The 17,090-nt window shown below is 37.3% G+C and overlaps 2 protein-coding genes and 1 long non-coding RNA gene across 7 annotated transcripts in view, besides 1 other annotated feature; 2 read left to right on the top strand and 1 right to left on the bottom strand.

Annotated features, from left to right (window-relative positions):
• Positions 1 to 9,548, top strand: part of FILIP1 (filamin A interacting protein 1) — a 201,942-nt gene extending 192,394 nt beyond the window's left edge. For all 4 annotated transcript variants that reach the window (XM_005248715.6, NM_001300866.3, XM_005248713.5 and 1 more), the window contains one exon: positions 5,457 to 9,548. In XM_005248715.6, the coding sequence (XP_005248772.1) occupies positions 5,457 to 5,486 (30 nt within the window). In that variant the 3' untranslated portion in view covers positions 5,487 to 9,548. The remainder of the gene's footprint in view (positions 1 to 5,456) is intronic.
• Positions 9,543 to 16,393, bottom strand: TMEM30A-DT (TMEM30A divergent transcript). Its single transcript, NR_040081.1, has 3 exons — positions 16,098 to 16,393; positions 11,069 to 11,153; positions 9,543 to 10,458 (listed from the first exon to the last, which is right to left on the bottom strand). It is a non-coding gene; the product is annotated as a TMEM30A divergent transcript (long non-coding RNA).
• Positions 16,379 to 16,951: an enhancer, noted in NCBI's record as "H3K27ac hESC enhancer chr6:75994172-75994744 (GRCh37/hg19 assembly coordinates)". NCBI's record gives its function as "activates a minimal SCP1, AML or CMV promoter by ChIP-STARR-seq in primed H9 embryonic stem cells {active_cell/tissue: H9 hESC(primed)}" and the evidence as "EXISTENCE:reporter gene assay evidence [ECO:0000049][PMID:30033119]".
• The window catches only part of TMEM30A (transmembrane protein 30A), a 31,869-nt gene continuing 31,393 nt past the window's right edge, over positions 16,615 to 17,090 (top strand). For both annotated transcript variants that reach the window (NM_001143958.2, NM_018247.4), the window contains exon 1: positions 16,615 to 17,005. In NM_001143958.2, the coding sequence (NP_001137430.1) occupies positions 16,769 to 17,005 (237 nt within the window). In that variant the 5' untranslated portion in view covers positions 16,615 to 16,768. The remainder of the gene's footprint in view (positions 17,006 to 17,090) is intronic.

Genomic DNA, 17,090 nt, shown 5'->3' with positions numbered 1-17,090 from the left:
AGGCCAGGACCAAAAATCAGTTCTTCAGTTTCTCCCAGTACATTATTCATTATTTCATATGATGAAACTACTACAAGTGAGTAAAATGTACATTCATACATAGACTGAAACACTCATACTCATTGGATCAAAATAATACTGCTAAATGATTTTGAGCTACTAAGACATCTATATAGAAACTGTGAAAAAGTTCTTACAACAATATTTTGATGAATATTGTTGTCCTCATTTAAAAAGCGCAGTGACCTTAGTTTTCACACATAATGTTATTTTGCATGCTATTCTGTGACTAGCCATAGACTTAGAACAACCTAGGTATTTACCATCTGTGTTTAAAAGAGTAGAACCTCAGCATGCTTTGCTCAAATACTTACCTATTTTTCCATTACTTAATTTTTATTTATAGTTAATGTTATATATGGGAACTAATTCAAATTTGCTTGTATCTGTAAAACAGCAATCTATGCTGGAGATAAGAATTAGCTTGCCAAAAAAGAATTTATCAGTTATAACTGTGATTATTGGTGACTTCTGCATCCTGGGGAGGTAAGGAGATAATTTGGGCTGATGGTAGAGTGGGAAATCTGCTGGAAGGAAGCAAATAAATTATTAGGTGGTTGAGAACTCCCAAGAGAGTTTGTATCATCTGGTTCAAAAATTTCCTAGAGCAAATGACAGAACCTATTAGCGGAAGTATTTTTAATTAGCTAAGCTGAATCCAAAAGAGGAATACAAGTCCAAATCAAGAGAGGAAGTTTCTTGAACTTCCTATTTAAAACAGATGTTTTAACAGAACTGTGATTAATTTCTGAATGTGATAATAACAGGATTGAACCCTGAAGCAGTTTAGGAAAATGAGAAACTTGAAAGTAAATCATATCTAAGTACTTCTAAAAGGTAAATAGAATGTAGGACATTTTTGCAGTGGACAAGTTGTTCTGAGGCCAGTAGGTTCAAAGCTGATATTTGGTACTTGGTCGGGGGAGGGGAAGAATAGCACAACCCTAAGCTGGTACCTCTAGGCAGAGCCCCTGGTGGGTAGGGAGCCATAGAACATGGGAAGCAGGTTATATATAGGCAAATTGATGCAAAATCCAAGAGGACATGTTTTTGTTCTGTAACTTGGTGTACAGCTTCCTGTGGATAAAGCAATCCTCCTTTGCTGATGTAACGTCTTGTTATAAGTTGAATTTCTGGTATGTTTTGTCTTTAGTATGTGAACTTAGAGGCTAGCTATTAAAGTGATGTGGCCTTATTTGCTAGAGAAGAATGTTTTTTTTTTAAATGTAGAGCTCAAGTGTTCCTTTGCAGTGTTTGGCAGAGTATAAACATGAATTACTTGGGAGGGAGGTATTGGCTTTTTAGGGAGTACATCTTTCTCACTCTACAGCCAAGGAGACCTCCTGGGAGGAAACAGAATTCTAATTTGTTGTGAGGTTGCCTCACTCTGCACTCAGGAAACATTCTCCCCCAAATTTCTCCCCAAATCCTATCTCATGCACACAGCTTTGGATCTCAAGTCATATGACTGGCTAGTAGTTTTGGGATACCACCCAAGGAGGATGAATATTTAGTAAGGTCAGAAATCAAGTTTAATTAGGAATTGACAATATGTTGAACTTCCTTTCCAGGAAGTTATCCAATAGCTAGTGTACTAAAAGACTTCATAAAAACTACATCATTTCACAATAATGTCATAATAACAAATAATGCATTTAATGTGTTACCTGAAGTTTTTTTAAGGAAAAAAACGTCAAGGTAACACTGGAGAGAAACATATAGGGGAAATTGTCTCTAAGTACACTTTGATAAAGCCACTAATGTCAAAAATATATAAAAACTCAGTGTCTCATATGTATATGTTCATTGAAATTTAGGGTTTTTAAAACTTCCAATTAGAAAAAAAGGAAATTATGTTAATAAACATCTTCATATCAGAGGGTCCCAAATTTAAGTGCTTTGCTATTTTGAGTTTGCTGACAGAGGTGGTAATTATCTATGGTCTTTGGTTCCAATCTGCCTATTAAGTGCTCTCCAAATCACTATTGTCAGAAGAGTGGTATCTGTAAGAAGAAAAATTATGATAGTTGTGCAAAATTATGATCTGTAAGAAGAAAAGTTATGAAAAATTATACCTGATTTTACTGGGGTTATTTTAGAGGCCCCAAATGACCTATAGTTGAATCTTGTTCTGGGATGAAATGAAGACAGTAGGAGATGGAATAAAATTTGCTCACTGAATCTGTAACTTCAATAAGATTTATAACATTATTTTATTGTACTATATACAAAAAGACAGGAACAGACTTGGGAATTCAAGTCTGTTTTTTTTTTTACACAAATAATGGCATTAATCCCCAAAGCACTAATTTTTAAAAATTTATTTAATTTTTTTTTTTGCTGGCAACATGGACTCCATGTGCCTCAGACAGTTTTGCTGTATAATGAGTTACTTCAAAATGTAATGGCTTAAAGCAATATTTTTTTTTGAGACTGAGTCTCTCTCTGTTGCCTAGGCTGGAGTGCAGTGGTGCTATCTCGGCACGCTGCAACTTCCGCCTCCTGGATTCAAGCTATTCTCCCACCTCAGCCTCCAGAGTAACTGGGATTACAGGTGCACACCACCACGCCCAGCTTATTTCTTGTATTTTTAGTAGAGATGGGGTTTCACCATGTTGGCCAGACTGGTCTTGAACTCCTGACCTCAAGTGATCCACCCCTCTCATCATCCCAAAGTGCTGGGATTACAGGTGTGAGCCACCAAGCCTGGCTTTAAAGCAATATTTTAAAAATTTATCACAATTTTGTGCATTGGCTAGGTGATTCTTATTGAGTAAGTTCAGCAGAGACTTGGGGAAAACATAGCTAATAAGCAACTATAGATTTAGTAAATCTGTTTAATAAGTTTCAATTAATAGAGCCAGTATCATACAGATTTTATCTCACTATCTCTAGAAATAAAATGAAGTTGGTCTCCATATAAAACAACATAATTTGGGCTTAATTGTATTCTTTTAAATAAAGTTTATGTACATAAGTATTAAATACCACCCTTTATTAAAGTACAATTTATATAAGATAAACTCTTATTTAGCATTATCAAGTATTTCTGAGACATTTGTTTTAATAACACATTTGATTAATAGCATTAGCATACATAGGATGCATGGATTATGAGTTTGCTAATTTAAATACAGTAATTAAATGTTATGGTCCAACCAAGACATTGTTTCTTCTGTGTACGGACCCTTATTACTATGATGGAGATTTTGAAATGCTAGGATTAAGACAAGGCAACTCTTAAGTTGTGCAAAATGCTAGGATTAAGACAAGGCAACTCTAAGTTGTGCAAAATGCTAGGATTAAGACAAGGCAACTCTAAATTGCCTTAATCCTAGCATTTTGTAAATTTCCACTGCTGCACACTGAAGGAGAAAGAAGGTATTGTAGTAATACAAAATGTTAACCCTGAAAGGGATTTTTGAGATGCTCTCTAATACCCTTATTTTGTACTGTGGAAACAAAGGCAGAAGATTTCTGAATTACATCCACAATAAGAACAATTCTGATTTCACTCTTTATCTATGCTTTCTTAAGGGAAGGAAATTGGAGATAACTTTAATTTTACCAGGGAGATTTGAGACTTGGGTCTTTTTACTCTTTGGAATCTACTGCAGAATTTTTTTTTAAATTAGTGAGAAACATCATTTTAATTTTGGATGCTAATTTTTAACTACATGATATTAATTAGTACTTAAAATTGTTTGCCTGAAGATTTTGATATATTTTTAGGCATTTGAAGTTGAAGCTGGAATATTTTTTCAATGAAAAAAACGAGATGGTTTATAAGGGCTTCTGGTATAGTACAATATAGTATGTATGTCTTAAGAGCTTCAGAAAACCTTCATAGCTAAATATTCTTAGGTATATAAGACATTCTATAGTTCATCTTACTTGGCTTTCTTATCTACCTCAAATTCAAGCCAAAAGGCTGAGGGAAAAAATGGAAATAGCTCCACCTATTGGTCATCATGAGGTAAAGTTAACGACACCAAATTAAGAAAACATTTTCTTTTTGGCAGGTAATCATGCACTGTGTGTAATTACTATGAACCTATAAGTCTATGGCATAATACGATTTAATTAATGTTTACTTATATACTAACTACATAAGTAAAAATAAAACTTAAATACTAGGTATTTGGGATGGATGTGAAAATAATAGGTAGAAATTTCTTCATGTTATTGATAAACCCTAAGTTTCTGCACTCACAACATATACCATATGTTGACAAGGAGGTACTAATAATAAATTTTTTGGATGAAGAAACTATTTGAAGTTTGAATATTTTCTTTCCCCTGCTGTGTATAATCTCAGTGATGTTAGGAATCTGTCTCATTTTGATCATGCATGTAGTTCCATGCCTACCTAGCACAGTATACAGCCTCAATAAATAGTTATTCAATGACTGAATGAAGTGAGTCATACTGATAAATGTTCATTAAGGCATAAAGTTTACTATAAAAGAAAAACCAGCCAAATAAATATAAATATTAATTATCCATAATGTGCTGGACTGTTGTAATTACTACCTCAATCTAGTTTAAATTTATTTTTATAAGAATAAATTTATATTTTAAAACATATAGGGAGGCTGAGGCGGGCAGATCACGAGGTCAGGAGATCGAGACCATCCTGGCTGACACGGTGAAACCCGTCTCTACTAAAAGTACAAAAAATTAGCCGGGCGTGGTGGTGGACGCCTGTAGTCCCAGCTACTGGGGAGGCTGAGACAGGAGAATGGCGTGAACCCGGGAGGCGGAGCTTGCGGTGAGCCGAGATCGCGTCACTCCACCCCAGCCTGGGCGACAGAGCGAGACTCCACCTAAAATAATAATAATAATAATAATAATAATAATAATAATAATAAACATATAGAGTTATGCAAAAAGACGCAGAGATAAAAGTGAGTCACCTATATTTATGGACTTAGAAATAATATCTCCTTATTAAACTCTAATCCACACACACACACACACACACACACACACACACACACACACAAAGAAATTGAAGAGGTGTAAATATTGTTCAGACCAGAAAATTTGGCTGGAAGATTAGAGTTACTTCTAGGAAATAGTCTGGTTTCTCATTAAGGGGTTTGTATATAGTAATTACTATCTTTGTTTTCAGTTCTTACCTTGGTCAAAACTGATCTACTATTGTCAGAACGTTAGACGTAGTTTCTAAAGGGCTTTAAGAAATTTCGAGGTAAAGTACATACGCCAATATAAAGACGTTGCCCAAGAATAGTAATGCAGGAAAGTCTATTAGCCTCATGTACCTGTTTTTGTTTGTTTTGTTATTTAACATCTATGATCTTTTAGTGAAATGATGTAGCTTGATTCTCAGTTTCAGTTTAATTGAAAATGCCATGTCTTTTTTCTCTTTATAGAAAGCATCATCATTCACCAGTTACGAATGAACTCCAGATGAAATGGTAAACCAAGCACATACTGGGTGTGTGTACGACCTCTGAATCCCTATTGAATGGACAGCCCTCAATCATGACTAAGGTCCTCCATGCTACTGATCACTACTGGAAATATTTTACTACTTCCAGTGATTTTTTTTTAAGGATATAATGTAAAAAGCTGAAAATGGCCTTGCTGATAATATGAAAATATGTAGCAAGAGCAATTCAATCTATGTGCCAAAAGAAATTTCTTTTTGCAAAGCTTTCAGGTCTATGGGCACATGCTGTATAACTTATATTTTATAATACATTTTGTAATGTGATTTTTTTTGCTAAAGTGTTTCCCTTTTTCATAGTCTCTGGCACATATATCTATGGAATACGCTGTCAGTTCTTCAAAGTACTGGTATTGTTGCATTCAAAATGGTAATCTATAATTATTTTCTTTTTATCAATTTGTTAATTCTGAAAAAAAGAAAGTACAACTATATTTCCTGAGGTAAATTCAAGAGGTAAAACTTAGAAGCAGGAGACTCTGGAAGAGGTTTTACTATTGCTTGTACAATGCTATGGTTCTGATCATGGTTCAATGCTAACAAATAATGCTCTGACTTAAAAGCTTAATTTTAAATACTAAAAATCAGTTTCTAAAGTTGCTCTTTCTGGTGTTCTGGGCCAAAAACCTTGGATGAAATGATTTTTATATAGAACAAATTCATAAAAGGAGATGTACCAGTTTAACCAGTAAGGGCAATAAGAACAGCTTCGACTGACAGTTCAATTATACTTCTGATTGCATTATTTACTTGTATGTATAAGACTTATAATAAGGACTGTGAAATAAAGATAGTTCTCACAATCTAATCCAATCAAAACTTGAATATAAAAACAGACCTAAAATGTCAGGATCTTTTTTAAAAAATAAGACTGGGCATGGTGGGTCGTGCCTGTAATCCCAGCACTTTGGGAGGCCAAGGCGGGAGAATCGCTTAAGCCCAGGAGTTCAGGATCAGCCTGGGCAACACAGTGAGAGTCTTAAAAAAAAAAAAAAAAAAAAAAAAAAAAAGAAGTTAGCTGGGCCTGATTGCACGTGCCTGTAGTCCTAGCTACTTGGGAGTCTGAGGTGGGAGGATCACTTGAGCCCAGGAGATGGAGGCTGCAGGGAGCCATGATTGTGTCACTGTACTCCAGCCTGGGTGACAGAGTGAGACTCTGTCTCAAAACAAAGACAAACCCACACACACACAAAAACCCCCAAAACCCAGAAGGAAAAAGTAGTACAAGAAATCTCAGGATCGATAACTTTTTTCCCCTTGATTTTGAAAGATTTTCGTAACTACAGGTAGGTCAGAGAATATATTCTTTGAAGATAAAAAGCACAACGTGCATTACTCAAATCTCAACGTCAGAGCTACTGTTGAATTTAGGTTTATGTGAAAATGTGCATCTAAAGTCTACTTGAAACCCTGGTAATATACTTTTTTTTTTAAAGACTGTTAATATGGACATGTTTTTAGTAAGGTCTTTAAAGATAACTTTAAAGATAAATTAAGAGTTGACACATCAGTTTCTGAATGTGGAAGTCATTTATCATGTAACTTTACTGAAATTAAAGAGAGAATGCTTCTGAGTGTCACAAGGATAACTAAAAGCCACACAAGGAGGACTGCTGGCCCATTTCTCTAGTTCACAGGTTGTGCTCAGCTTTAGAAGCCCACACACGGGCATCCAAACTGAGTCTCTGGAATAGAAAAATTAATGATGGACTTCCTCCCCTATGTAACCTTGGAAGGTTTTAAGTTACACCTTGGGGAATTGGCAAATCATTTTCAACATGTATTATAAATTATATGATGTTAAAATTATTTTTAATTTTTTAAAGTAAAAGAAATGTTACAGTAGGCTTGCCATAGCTTGAATGATTGTGAAAACATCACATAAACTTCCAGAATTTTGGTTACTAAGAAAACTGGAGTGTGTATGTGTGATTTTTTAGAATTGTTACTGGGTTTTGTTTTCTGAAAATGTTGACTGTAATGACATTTTCAATTAGAAAAGTGTTTTAGTTAGTACTGTTATATTTTTTGACTCACAGTTAAGTATCCTATTTGCCAATGTTTGTACCTCTGATGGCAAAATTATTTGATATATTAGATTAGTATTTGAAGCAAATAACTTTCTCAACTTGTGGGAATTTTATTATACTAATAGTGAAAATGTTAGAGGATAAGATTTTAAATACTTCTTGATTTAAATTAAAATACTATAAGAAATGTATGTATATTTGGATTTGAAGATTTTTTTTCCCCAGATTTATAATGAATTTGGAACTTACAAGAACAATGAGGATGATGGTGCAATCAGAGTCATTTAGATAGATGGTGAGCCTTTTCTGTCCATGCTATGATTAAGTCCTCTGTTTAAACCCAAATGCAATCTGAGTGACACATGAATAAAATTAATTAGATTAATTTTGAAATAAGAGAATATGCAAAATTAACCAAAAAACCCCCAGAAAACACTGGTCATCTCCTTCTCTAATGAATAAGGAAATAAGATCATAAATAGTCCCATCTCAACATGCATATGCAATTGAAAAAACTGCCCTCACAGGCAATCCTGGCACAATCCTAGGCTCATAAAATTTCTCTATCTTTTCTTGTAAATAAGTCTCCAGTCATCATTCTAAATGGGAATCATTTTTAATGAAATAATTATAACTGTTTTCTGAAATATAATCATAATCAGTGTTTCTAGTTCAAGGTACAATTGAACTAATCCATAATTTTACCCTTTTCTTTTTGATAAGAGAGTGTTTCATGAGGGTATCTTTGGTAGAGATCTTTTCTCAAGTATTTTATAAAATATTCGAGTTTGATGAAGATGGTAGATAAATACACCAGCTGTCAGATGCCTATAATTTTCACAAAATGTGAAGAATTCATTGTATCTTAGGATGACCATAAAAAAATTCATGGTGTGGAATCTCTAAGCATTAATAGAGACAACAGCGCTACTGCAGTAATACACAGCTACTACAAATCAGTGGCAGAGCAAGAATAAGTGGTGTATCAGGCAATGTGAAGTTTTTGCCTTTTCTCCTAATGCTGTGGTTGAGTTTTCCTGGAAATGAAGGAAAAAAACATAGCAAAAGTAGGGTGTGTTAATGAATCTGATGAGCAACAAGTCTAAAAATAGCAAAAGTGCAAAATGGAAGTTAAAAAACGCAACTGGCACCTGAAGCATATTTCCCCTTCTTTATCTCCAGTGCTATGCCTCTGCTAAAAATATGAATCACAAAGCAAAGGAAAAAGAGAAAAAAAGTGTTGTAATACAGTAAAAATCACTATAATAAAAGTTTATAAGAATTGAGTTTTTTGGAATTGACTTTGGCCTAGTAACCATTAGTATTTCTTAATTTTTCAGCATTTATTCCATACTAATGTGATAACAACTGTGTGTGTTACCTAGAGAAAATGCTGTAGATCCACACATTTGAACAGAAATGTTTATCGATGCCATAACGTGATACATTTGCTTTCCGGTGTTGTTTTTTGTTTATATTATTTAGGGAAATTTTACCTTACCATCACAGATTTTGTTACTTTAATAATGCAGAACTATATTTATTTAATCTAGATTTTGTTTTAAAATTATCAAGTGTTAGCTTTTACAAATAAGAGGCTTATAATGTGGCCAGATATTCTTAGAATTCTTTTAGGTCTAAGTGTTTTCAAAACTTTAAGAAATACATTCTATTTTTGCACCATTTAAAATTTTGTTTCCTTTTAAGTTTTATTAAGTACACGAGAAGTTTATTATTTTTCATTGAATCCAAGTGAATTTATGGATATGTACTTATCTTTTATATGAATGTAATAGCTTGCTTTCAGTTCCTCACAGGTCATTGAAATTATTTAACCAATGAAAACATTCTCTGTTACTTCCAAAGTCAACTATGTTTATCAAAATCTCACTAGTGTGAGAAAAATAACAAGTGTAATATTAAAGCATTGTGCAATATCTTGAGTTGGAACATAATATTCAGAAAATTAAAATCATTTAAAATGAGTATGCAACCTTTTTATTTAAAATCATTTGCTCCAAAATAGTTTTCATCTCTGCATTTCATATTTTCTTAAAAATATGGTGTCTTTCACTATGGATAGGCAGATGTGGTAGAGCAGGGCTGCCAGGATGAGGGATGCTCTTCCTCTGGATTACACAACGGTTTGATTCTTTAGTAAGATGAAAACTTTAAGACACCAAGAAATGGAAACTGGTTAAAGGGTTTCCCTCCCTGCTTTATTCCCACAAACTGCACTGTCAATCAACATTCAGATGTTACTCCACAGCCGCTGCTGTCAATCTAAAGGTAGATCACTCAGTAGAGCAAAGGCTCCTGAGGCTTTGCCAGCAGTCCACAGCCCAGTATCTACAGAGGCATTTGGGTCATGGTTTTTGCAAAGTGGGATGTGGGTGAGAGTGGGGTTGTGTTCTGACTTCCTTTATTGCTATCAGCCTGTGCCAGAAATAGGGATCTATATAGCTACATCCAATCCTAACTTATCTCTGCCTTATTTGAAAGAAAGGAATGGGTTTCTATTAAATAATAAAAACATTAGTTTATTAATTCCTGCTAGGAAGTAGCCTTTTCTTATCCTTCCTTCAACTGCCCTGTCTCCTTTTCCCTGTTATTCAAAGACCTTTCCCATGACCACAGCCACATTCTTTTTTGGCTGTTCTGGTTTTCAGTGCACAGTTCTTTCTTCTCCTTGACAGCAAGGCATGTTTAGTCGAAATAACAGAGTGTTTTGTAGGCACCTAATAATTGACTCCTAACCCCAGAGGATTGCTCCTTTTGGAGCAATACCTCAGTCAGGGTATTCTGTGCCAAATCTTCCTCACCAAATTATTCTGGTTGCTGATGCTTTCCTTGCAGAAATTTCTGTGCCCACGGAAGGTTTCAGAGGCAGATTATCTGGATTAAATAAGAAAAGACCTTTAGTAATCACTGATTCTAAGGGAAGGTATGCCTTTAAAAAGAAAGGAGTTTCATCAGGCCTCAAGATGGTTTATACTGCTTTATTGAGAGAAATGTGCTCATTTTTGCATCACAAAGGGGCATGTATTGGCGCCCACGTGGAGCACTGACACAAGTCGGCAGTGAGACAACAAACTGATTATCTCCCAGAAATGGAGGGCACCAGAGATGTCTGTTTCCATGGTTACCACAATCTGATGAGATCATGCTTGAGGAAAAGAACATGATCACCCAGAGTACACAGTCTTGCTTAGCATTTATAGTACATGTAATATTAGCATAAGACTCTCTTTTCTCTATTTTCCTACATGGAGAACCACAATGTAACTCTGACCTTATTTCCAATTTCCTCACAGTTTAGTTTTTGACATCATAAGGCGGATGACATGTGGTACCTCCTCAGAGCTCCTATAACCCCTTGAACACATATCTTGTGTGGCACTGACTTCATTACATAATATTTCAGTTGTCAGCAAGGTGTCTCTCCCACTAAAATGTGGGTTCACTGAGAGTAGGTCAGGTCAGTTCAACAAGATTTATCAAGTACCTTTTATGGCCGAGGCACTTTGCCAGGTGTTGGAGATGTAGAAATGAATAAAAACAGTCTCTGACCTTGAGGAATTCATTTACATCTAGTAACAAAGACAGATATAAACATATTTTTCAATACTACACAGTAAGTGCAAGGACAGACGTCATATATACATTACCTCGAGCTCTGAAAGTAGCTCTTAACTCCACCAAAGGGGTCAAACAAGTATTCCTCGAATTGGCTACTGACCTGAATCTTGAAGGATGAGTGGGGATTAACTAGCAAAGCAGTTAGAGTGGAGGTGGGGTGTGAAGTCAGGGAGCAGTGGGTTACTGAGTGACTGGGTTAAGGAAGCAAAGACAGCGAGTGCAGATTTCTCCTCCCAGAAGATTCAGTGACAATATAGATGATGTTGTGAAACAGTTTGTTGAACTTATCTTGTGCCTTATGGTGTGCTGGTCAGAGGGAAGCCCTTGGTCTTTGCCTTTGTTGTCATAAATATTTAGTGCTATTGACTGCAAATGTGCTTGATTTCTTTCTTTCTTTTTTTTTGAGACAGTCTCGCTTTGTCGCCCAGGTCGGAGTGCAGTGGGGGGATCTCGACTCACTGCAACCTCCGCCTCCTGGGTTCAAACGATTCTCCTGCCTCGGCCTCCTGAGTAGCTGGGACTACAGCCACATGCCACCATGCCCAGATAATTTTTTGTATTTTTAGTAGAGACGGGGTTTCACCATTTGAGCCAGGATGGCCTCGATCTCCTGACCTCGTGATCTGCCTGCCTCAGCCTCCCAAAATGCTGGGATTACTGGCGTAAGCCACCATGCCTGGCCCAATGTATTTGATTTCTGAGGCTCAACAAAAGCTAACTTTCACATTTAAGTCCATTTTGTGAAGATCCTTCATGAATATGTTGGAGTTATTTTAATGACTCAAGTGATTCAAGTGTTAAAAAAAAATGATGAAATGAACTCCCCCTCATGCTGGCTTTCTAAAACTTGGAAAAATAGAAAAGTATAAATTTAAAACAAGTCTAAAAATGGTCCAAACGTATAATTTATAAAGAATTAACGTTTTTAGGCTGGGTGTAGTGGCTCACGTCTGTAATCCCAGCACTTTGGGAGGCTGAGGCAGGCAGATCACCTGAGGTCAGGGGTTTGAGACCAGCCTGGCCAACATGGTGAAACCCTGTCTCTACTAAAAATACAAAAATTAGCCAGGCATGGTGGTGGGCACCTGTAATCCCAGCTACTCGGGAGGCTGACGCAGAAGAATTGCTTGAACCCGGGAGGCGGAGATAGCAATGAGCTGAGATCACGCCACTACACTCCAACCTGGGCGACAGAGCAAGACTCCGTCTCCAAAAAAAAAAAAAAAAAAAAAAAAAAAAATTAACGTATTTAAAATATCTACTTTCCTGTATCCTTGACGATTCTCTGTTTCCTCCTCTGTTCCCCTTTTTAAAGAAATTAACTGTTATACATGTAACATGTCAGTTGGCTGTTATCCTAGAGATGGCAACATCATATCTGAAAAAAAGACCTTATCTATAATTGATGGCACCTAATGAAAAAATACATGCCATGGGGATATAATCAACTGAGAGATTCTATGCAGTGGAAGTCATGAAGTCCGAAGTCTTGTGAGAATCACATTCTTTCATTTAAAGTATGGAATTGGCCAGGCACGCCTGTAATCCCAGCACTTTGGGAAGCCAAGTGCCTGAGCTCAGGAGTTCGAGACCAGCCTGGGCAACATGGCAAAACCCTGTCTCTATCAAAAATACAAAAAATTAATTGGCTGTGGTGGCACGCACCTGTGGTCCCACGTACTTGGGAGGCTGAGGTTGGAGAATCGCTTGAGCCTGGGAGGTGGAGGTTGCAGTGAGCCACTGCACTCCCACCTGGGTGATAGAGTGAGACAGCGTCTCAAAAAAACAAAAAACCAAAACCAAAAAGTATGGAATTATGAGAAATGAAGCCTTATTTCCATCAACAACAAAGTTCTTAGGCTGTCTACTAAAGAATTTTGGTGTAATTGCTCTTTCCTCTAATGACGCTAACCATTAAAATATCTTGCTTGACTTGTATTTCTGATGACTGACTGGCTATTCAAGAACTTGCAAGATTTTCTATCACAACACCTATGACCTCAGGCTAATCAGTCAATCTGTCAATGTGAGAACAAAGGGATTTTCCTAAATATCTAACTGAAAGTATTCAATAAGTACACTACACAAAAATCAGGAAAAATTCAATTTTAAAAAGTAATTTTTAAAAGCCAGTTTGAATCAATATCTGATGCAATAAATACAGGAAATGAAGTTTATTATACAATTTCTACATCACTCTTTCTCCTAAAAGTCCTCTGAGATAATTAAAAATGAACATTTTGCAGTTCCACCAAGCTGCCATGGTCAACTGAAAAGGAAAAGGTATTTTTGTTGTTGTTGTTCCTGCAAAAATATGACCCAGTCACTGAAAATAATTCAAACCATTTCCAGTCACTAAGAACTTTCTCTGAAACTCATGATGGTAAAAACTATGGCACATCTCTCAGCCCTCTTCAACTTTTTAAAATATCCTTGTTACAGATGTGAATGAAATGGTTTGAATATGGTTAGAAGCTAGAGACCTACAGCAGCACCCAACATAAAAGGAACCCAACAAGCAAATTTGTGTGGCAAATCTACTTTGGTTAGGCAATGAAAAGACCAGTTGCAGTTTTCTCTTCCTTGTTCCCAGGGATACCCAATAGTTACTCTTCTGTATTTTTTTCTTAGATGTTTCTGGTTACCGAATTCAGTGGCACAACACAGCAACTGAACTAAAAAATGAAAATTGTATAAAACTTCCCAACCAAAGGCTAAATATACACACCTTTTCAGATTGTTGGGCTTGCATCTGTTCTATCATTTTAGATTCACTTTTATACTGGGGCTTGTGCATTGACTGCATACTTAGAATGTTAATCTGATAGCATTAATAAATGTCATTTAGCCACATAAATTCCACTTTTACCAAGAATCAGCACATGAACAATCATTTGAACAATATAAATGTAATCTAAATGTATCAACATACATACACACAAACACACACCAGTCGCTCCTAGCAATCAGTTTGAAAATGCATAAATGGTAGTCCACTGTGAGAACTATTCTCTTTAGTTGCCCTAGAAATGCTGAATGACGCTTTCTTTTGAAAATTCCTACTTCAGCAGATTAAATGAAAAACCACCTAGTAAGGACTTCATAAAATAATGTAACCAAGAACATCACAAAATTTTGAGTTCCCTGGGATAATAATGTGACACTGAAAAAAATGTTTCAGCTGGGTAAAGATGCATATTGTGGAAGAATACAGTAGTGGAAAATGAAATGGAGGGATATCAAGAGATCTGGAAAAGCAATTTCATCCATGTGGACCTCATCTGAAAATGTTAAGTTTTAGAGAAGAATCTCAGGAGGTTTCAATTCTGTAAATGTTTCAGTCAAAATCGAATTTCTAATAAAAAAAGAGACAAGGGATTAACTCATTTTCCTATGAACAAACAAAAATAAAGAAAAAGGAAGCAGATAAATACATCACAATCACTCAGATCACTAGAACAAAAACAAAAAATTGAAGGTAAAATGACCATATATACAGAGTGCTGGAATAGCAGATCAGTTAAATAATTATCAAATTTAGTGGGCATGATGATATAGGCAGAAATGGGGAGGAAAAACCTGCCTTATATGTACTTTCGCAATATGCCCATATTGTGGCATACATTTTTACTAACAGAACTTAGCAAAATAAAAGGACTCAAAGCCTTCTCCATTAACTGTGATAGATTGTTTTCCATTTGAGCCTGGGGTTGAAGGTAAACTTAACAGATCAAAACAAAATATAGACCTAAGTATGTCAGTAGTGCTAAGAATTTGAGCATGAATGTCATGTAAGAGCAAACCCAAGCAAGTCGGTTATTAGAAGGCAGCAAGTATTATATCACTCTAAACTCTGCCTAGTAAACATGTGATTGGCTCACATTTTTGAAACTTGTGGTCATTTTGAAAAAAAACATTTAACTGTAAAATTTTTTTTTTTTTTTTTGAGATGGAGTTTCGTTCTTGTTGCCCAGGCTGGAGTGCAATGGCGGATCTTGGCTCACTGCAACCTCCGCCTCCCGGGTTCAAGTGATTCTCCTGCCTCAGCCTCCCGAGTAGCTGGGATTACAGGCGCGGCCACCACGCCCAGCTAATTTTGTAGTTTTGGTAAAGACGGGATTTCATCATGTTGGCCAGGCTGGTCTCGAACTCCTGACCTCAGGTGATCCACCCGCCTCGGCCTCCCAAAGTGTTGGGATTACAGGCGTGAGCCACAGAGCCCAGCTTAACGGTAAATTATGAGGACCAAGCACTCTTTATTTTCTCTTTCCTCAGTTTACCTTCTTTAAGGCATTACTGCAGACTAAGCCTAAAAAAAAGTAATTTGTTTTCAAATGATATGATTTACTCTCTGGCCTGGATTTCAAAGATGTCAGTATAATATGGATTGTATATATTGTTTAAATTTTACAAATAACATAACGCCTATTATAGAAATTTTGGAAAATACAGAAAAGTGCAAAGAAACAGAAAAAAAAATCCTTCATCCGGTCAGCAGAGTTACCATTTTCACTTTTTAGTTGCGCTCTATATTGTACTTCTATAGTCGCTACACTACTCTAATATCCTGACTTAGTCAACTTTTATATCACGAGTATTTTCTTGGGTCATTAAATAGCTGGCACTTTTAAAGTGTTTACGGAGTATCTCATTTTGTAGTAATGCTATATGTCCTGGTTTTTATAACAGTAAGAGAAAAAGCTACAGCCTATTACAAAACACTTCCTATATCAATGCGCAAAAGAGAAAGGTGGACACAGAAAAGGGGAAATGTAACGTGAGAATTAGCAATAGAGAAAGAATAAGTGAGAATCGCTTAATTAGAGGCAAGATAATAGGGCTAAGTCACATTATTGATTCTTGACTTTAGGACAAAAGGGGTACATGTCACGCACCTCTGTTCCAAGTTTGTATTTGCACCTTGAATGGCGATTTATTAGATAAAGTCGCGGTTTTACAACCTAAGCAAATACTGCTAATCCTCCCCCGACTCAATCCACCTTGAGGCCGCCTTTTAAATGCTCCGACTCCCTTCAGAGAAAGCCTCGAGGTAAAAAGAAAAACCTGTCTGGCAATCCAGACCTGCCGTCGCCACGATAACCAGAGTAGCAGGCAGGTGTGTGCTTACTAAAGCCACGGCCAACAGAGCGAAGATGCGCCTACACCGCACGCGAAGTGTCACCGTAGCTCTAGGACCACGCATGCGCGAACGCAGATTCGCGATCCAATGGCTGAGCCCGTCACAGGACAGATGATCAGGGTGCGTCCGCCTTTTCGTTCCCGCTTCTATCCTCCTCCCCTTTCCCCTCCCCATGTCCCTCCTTCTTCTCCCTCCTCCCTCTCTCCCTCCCTCTGGCGTCTCCAGCCGACTTTCGCTTCCCGTCAGCAGCCTTTGGCGGAAGAGTGTCCCGCCTCTTCCGCTCTACAGCGGAGGTGGCTGTGGCGGTGGCGCTGGTGGCTGCGGCGGCGGCGGCGGCAGCGGCGCTCGAGCGGTTCCTGTCAGGGTCAGCCGGCGGGCCCCCTGGGTGGTCCACCTGCAAATCGCGGAGCGGCGCCCCAGGGATCGATGGCGATGAACTATAACGCGAAGGATGAAGTGGACGGTGGGCCCCCGTGTGCTCCGGGGGGCACCGCGAAGACTCGGAGACCGGATAACACGGCCTTCAAACAGCAACGGCTGCCAGCTTGGCAGCCCATCCTTACGGCTGGCACGGTGCTACCTATTTTCTTCATCATCGGTCTCATCTTCATTCCCATCGGCATTGGCATTTTTGTCACCTCCAACAACATCCGCGAGATCGAGGTGAGGGGAGGGAGCTGTGGTGGGAGTTGGCGTTGCTCGGGAGGAGGGTCCTACGCGCCCACTCCACTTCTTTCCCAGCGCCCAG

Source organism: Homo sapiens, chromosome 6 (assembly GCF_000001405.40).
Source record: "Homo sapiens chromosome 6, GRCh38.p14 Primary Assembly".
NCBI classification, from domain to species: domain Eukaryota; kingdom Metazoa; phylum Chordata; class Mammalia; order Primates; family Hominidae; genus Homo; species Homo sapiens.
Note: the sequence above shows the minus strand (reverse complement) of the source record. Positions and strands in the feature narration are given on the sequence as shown.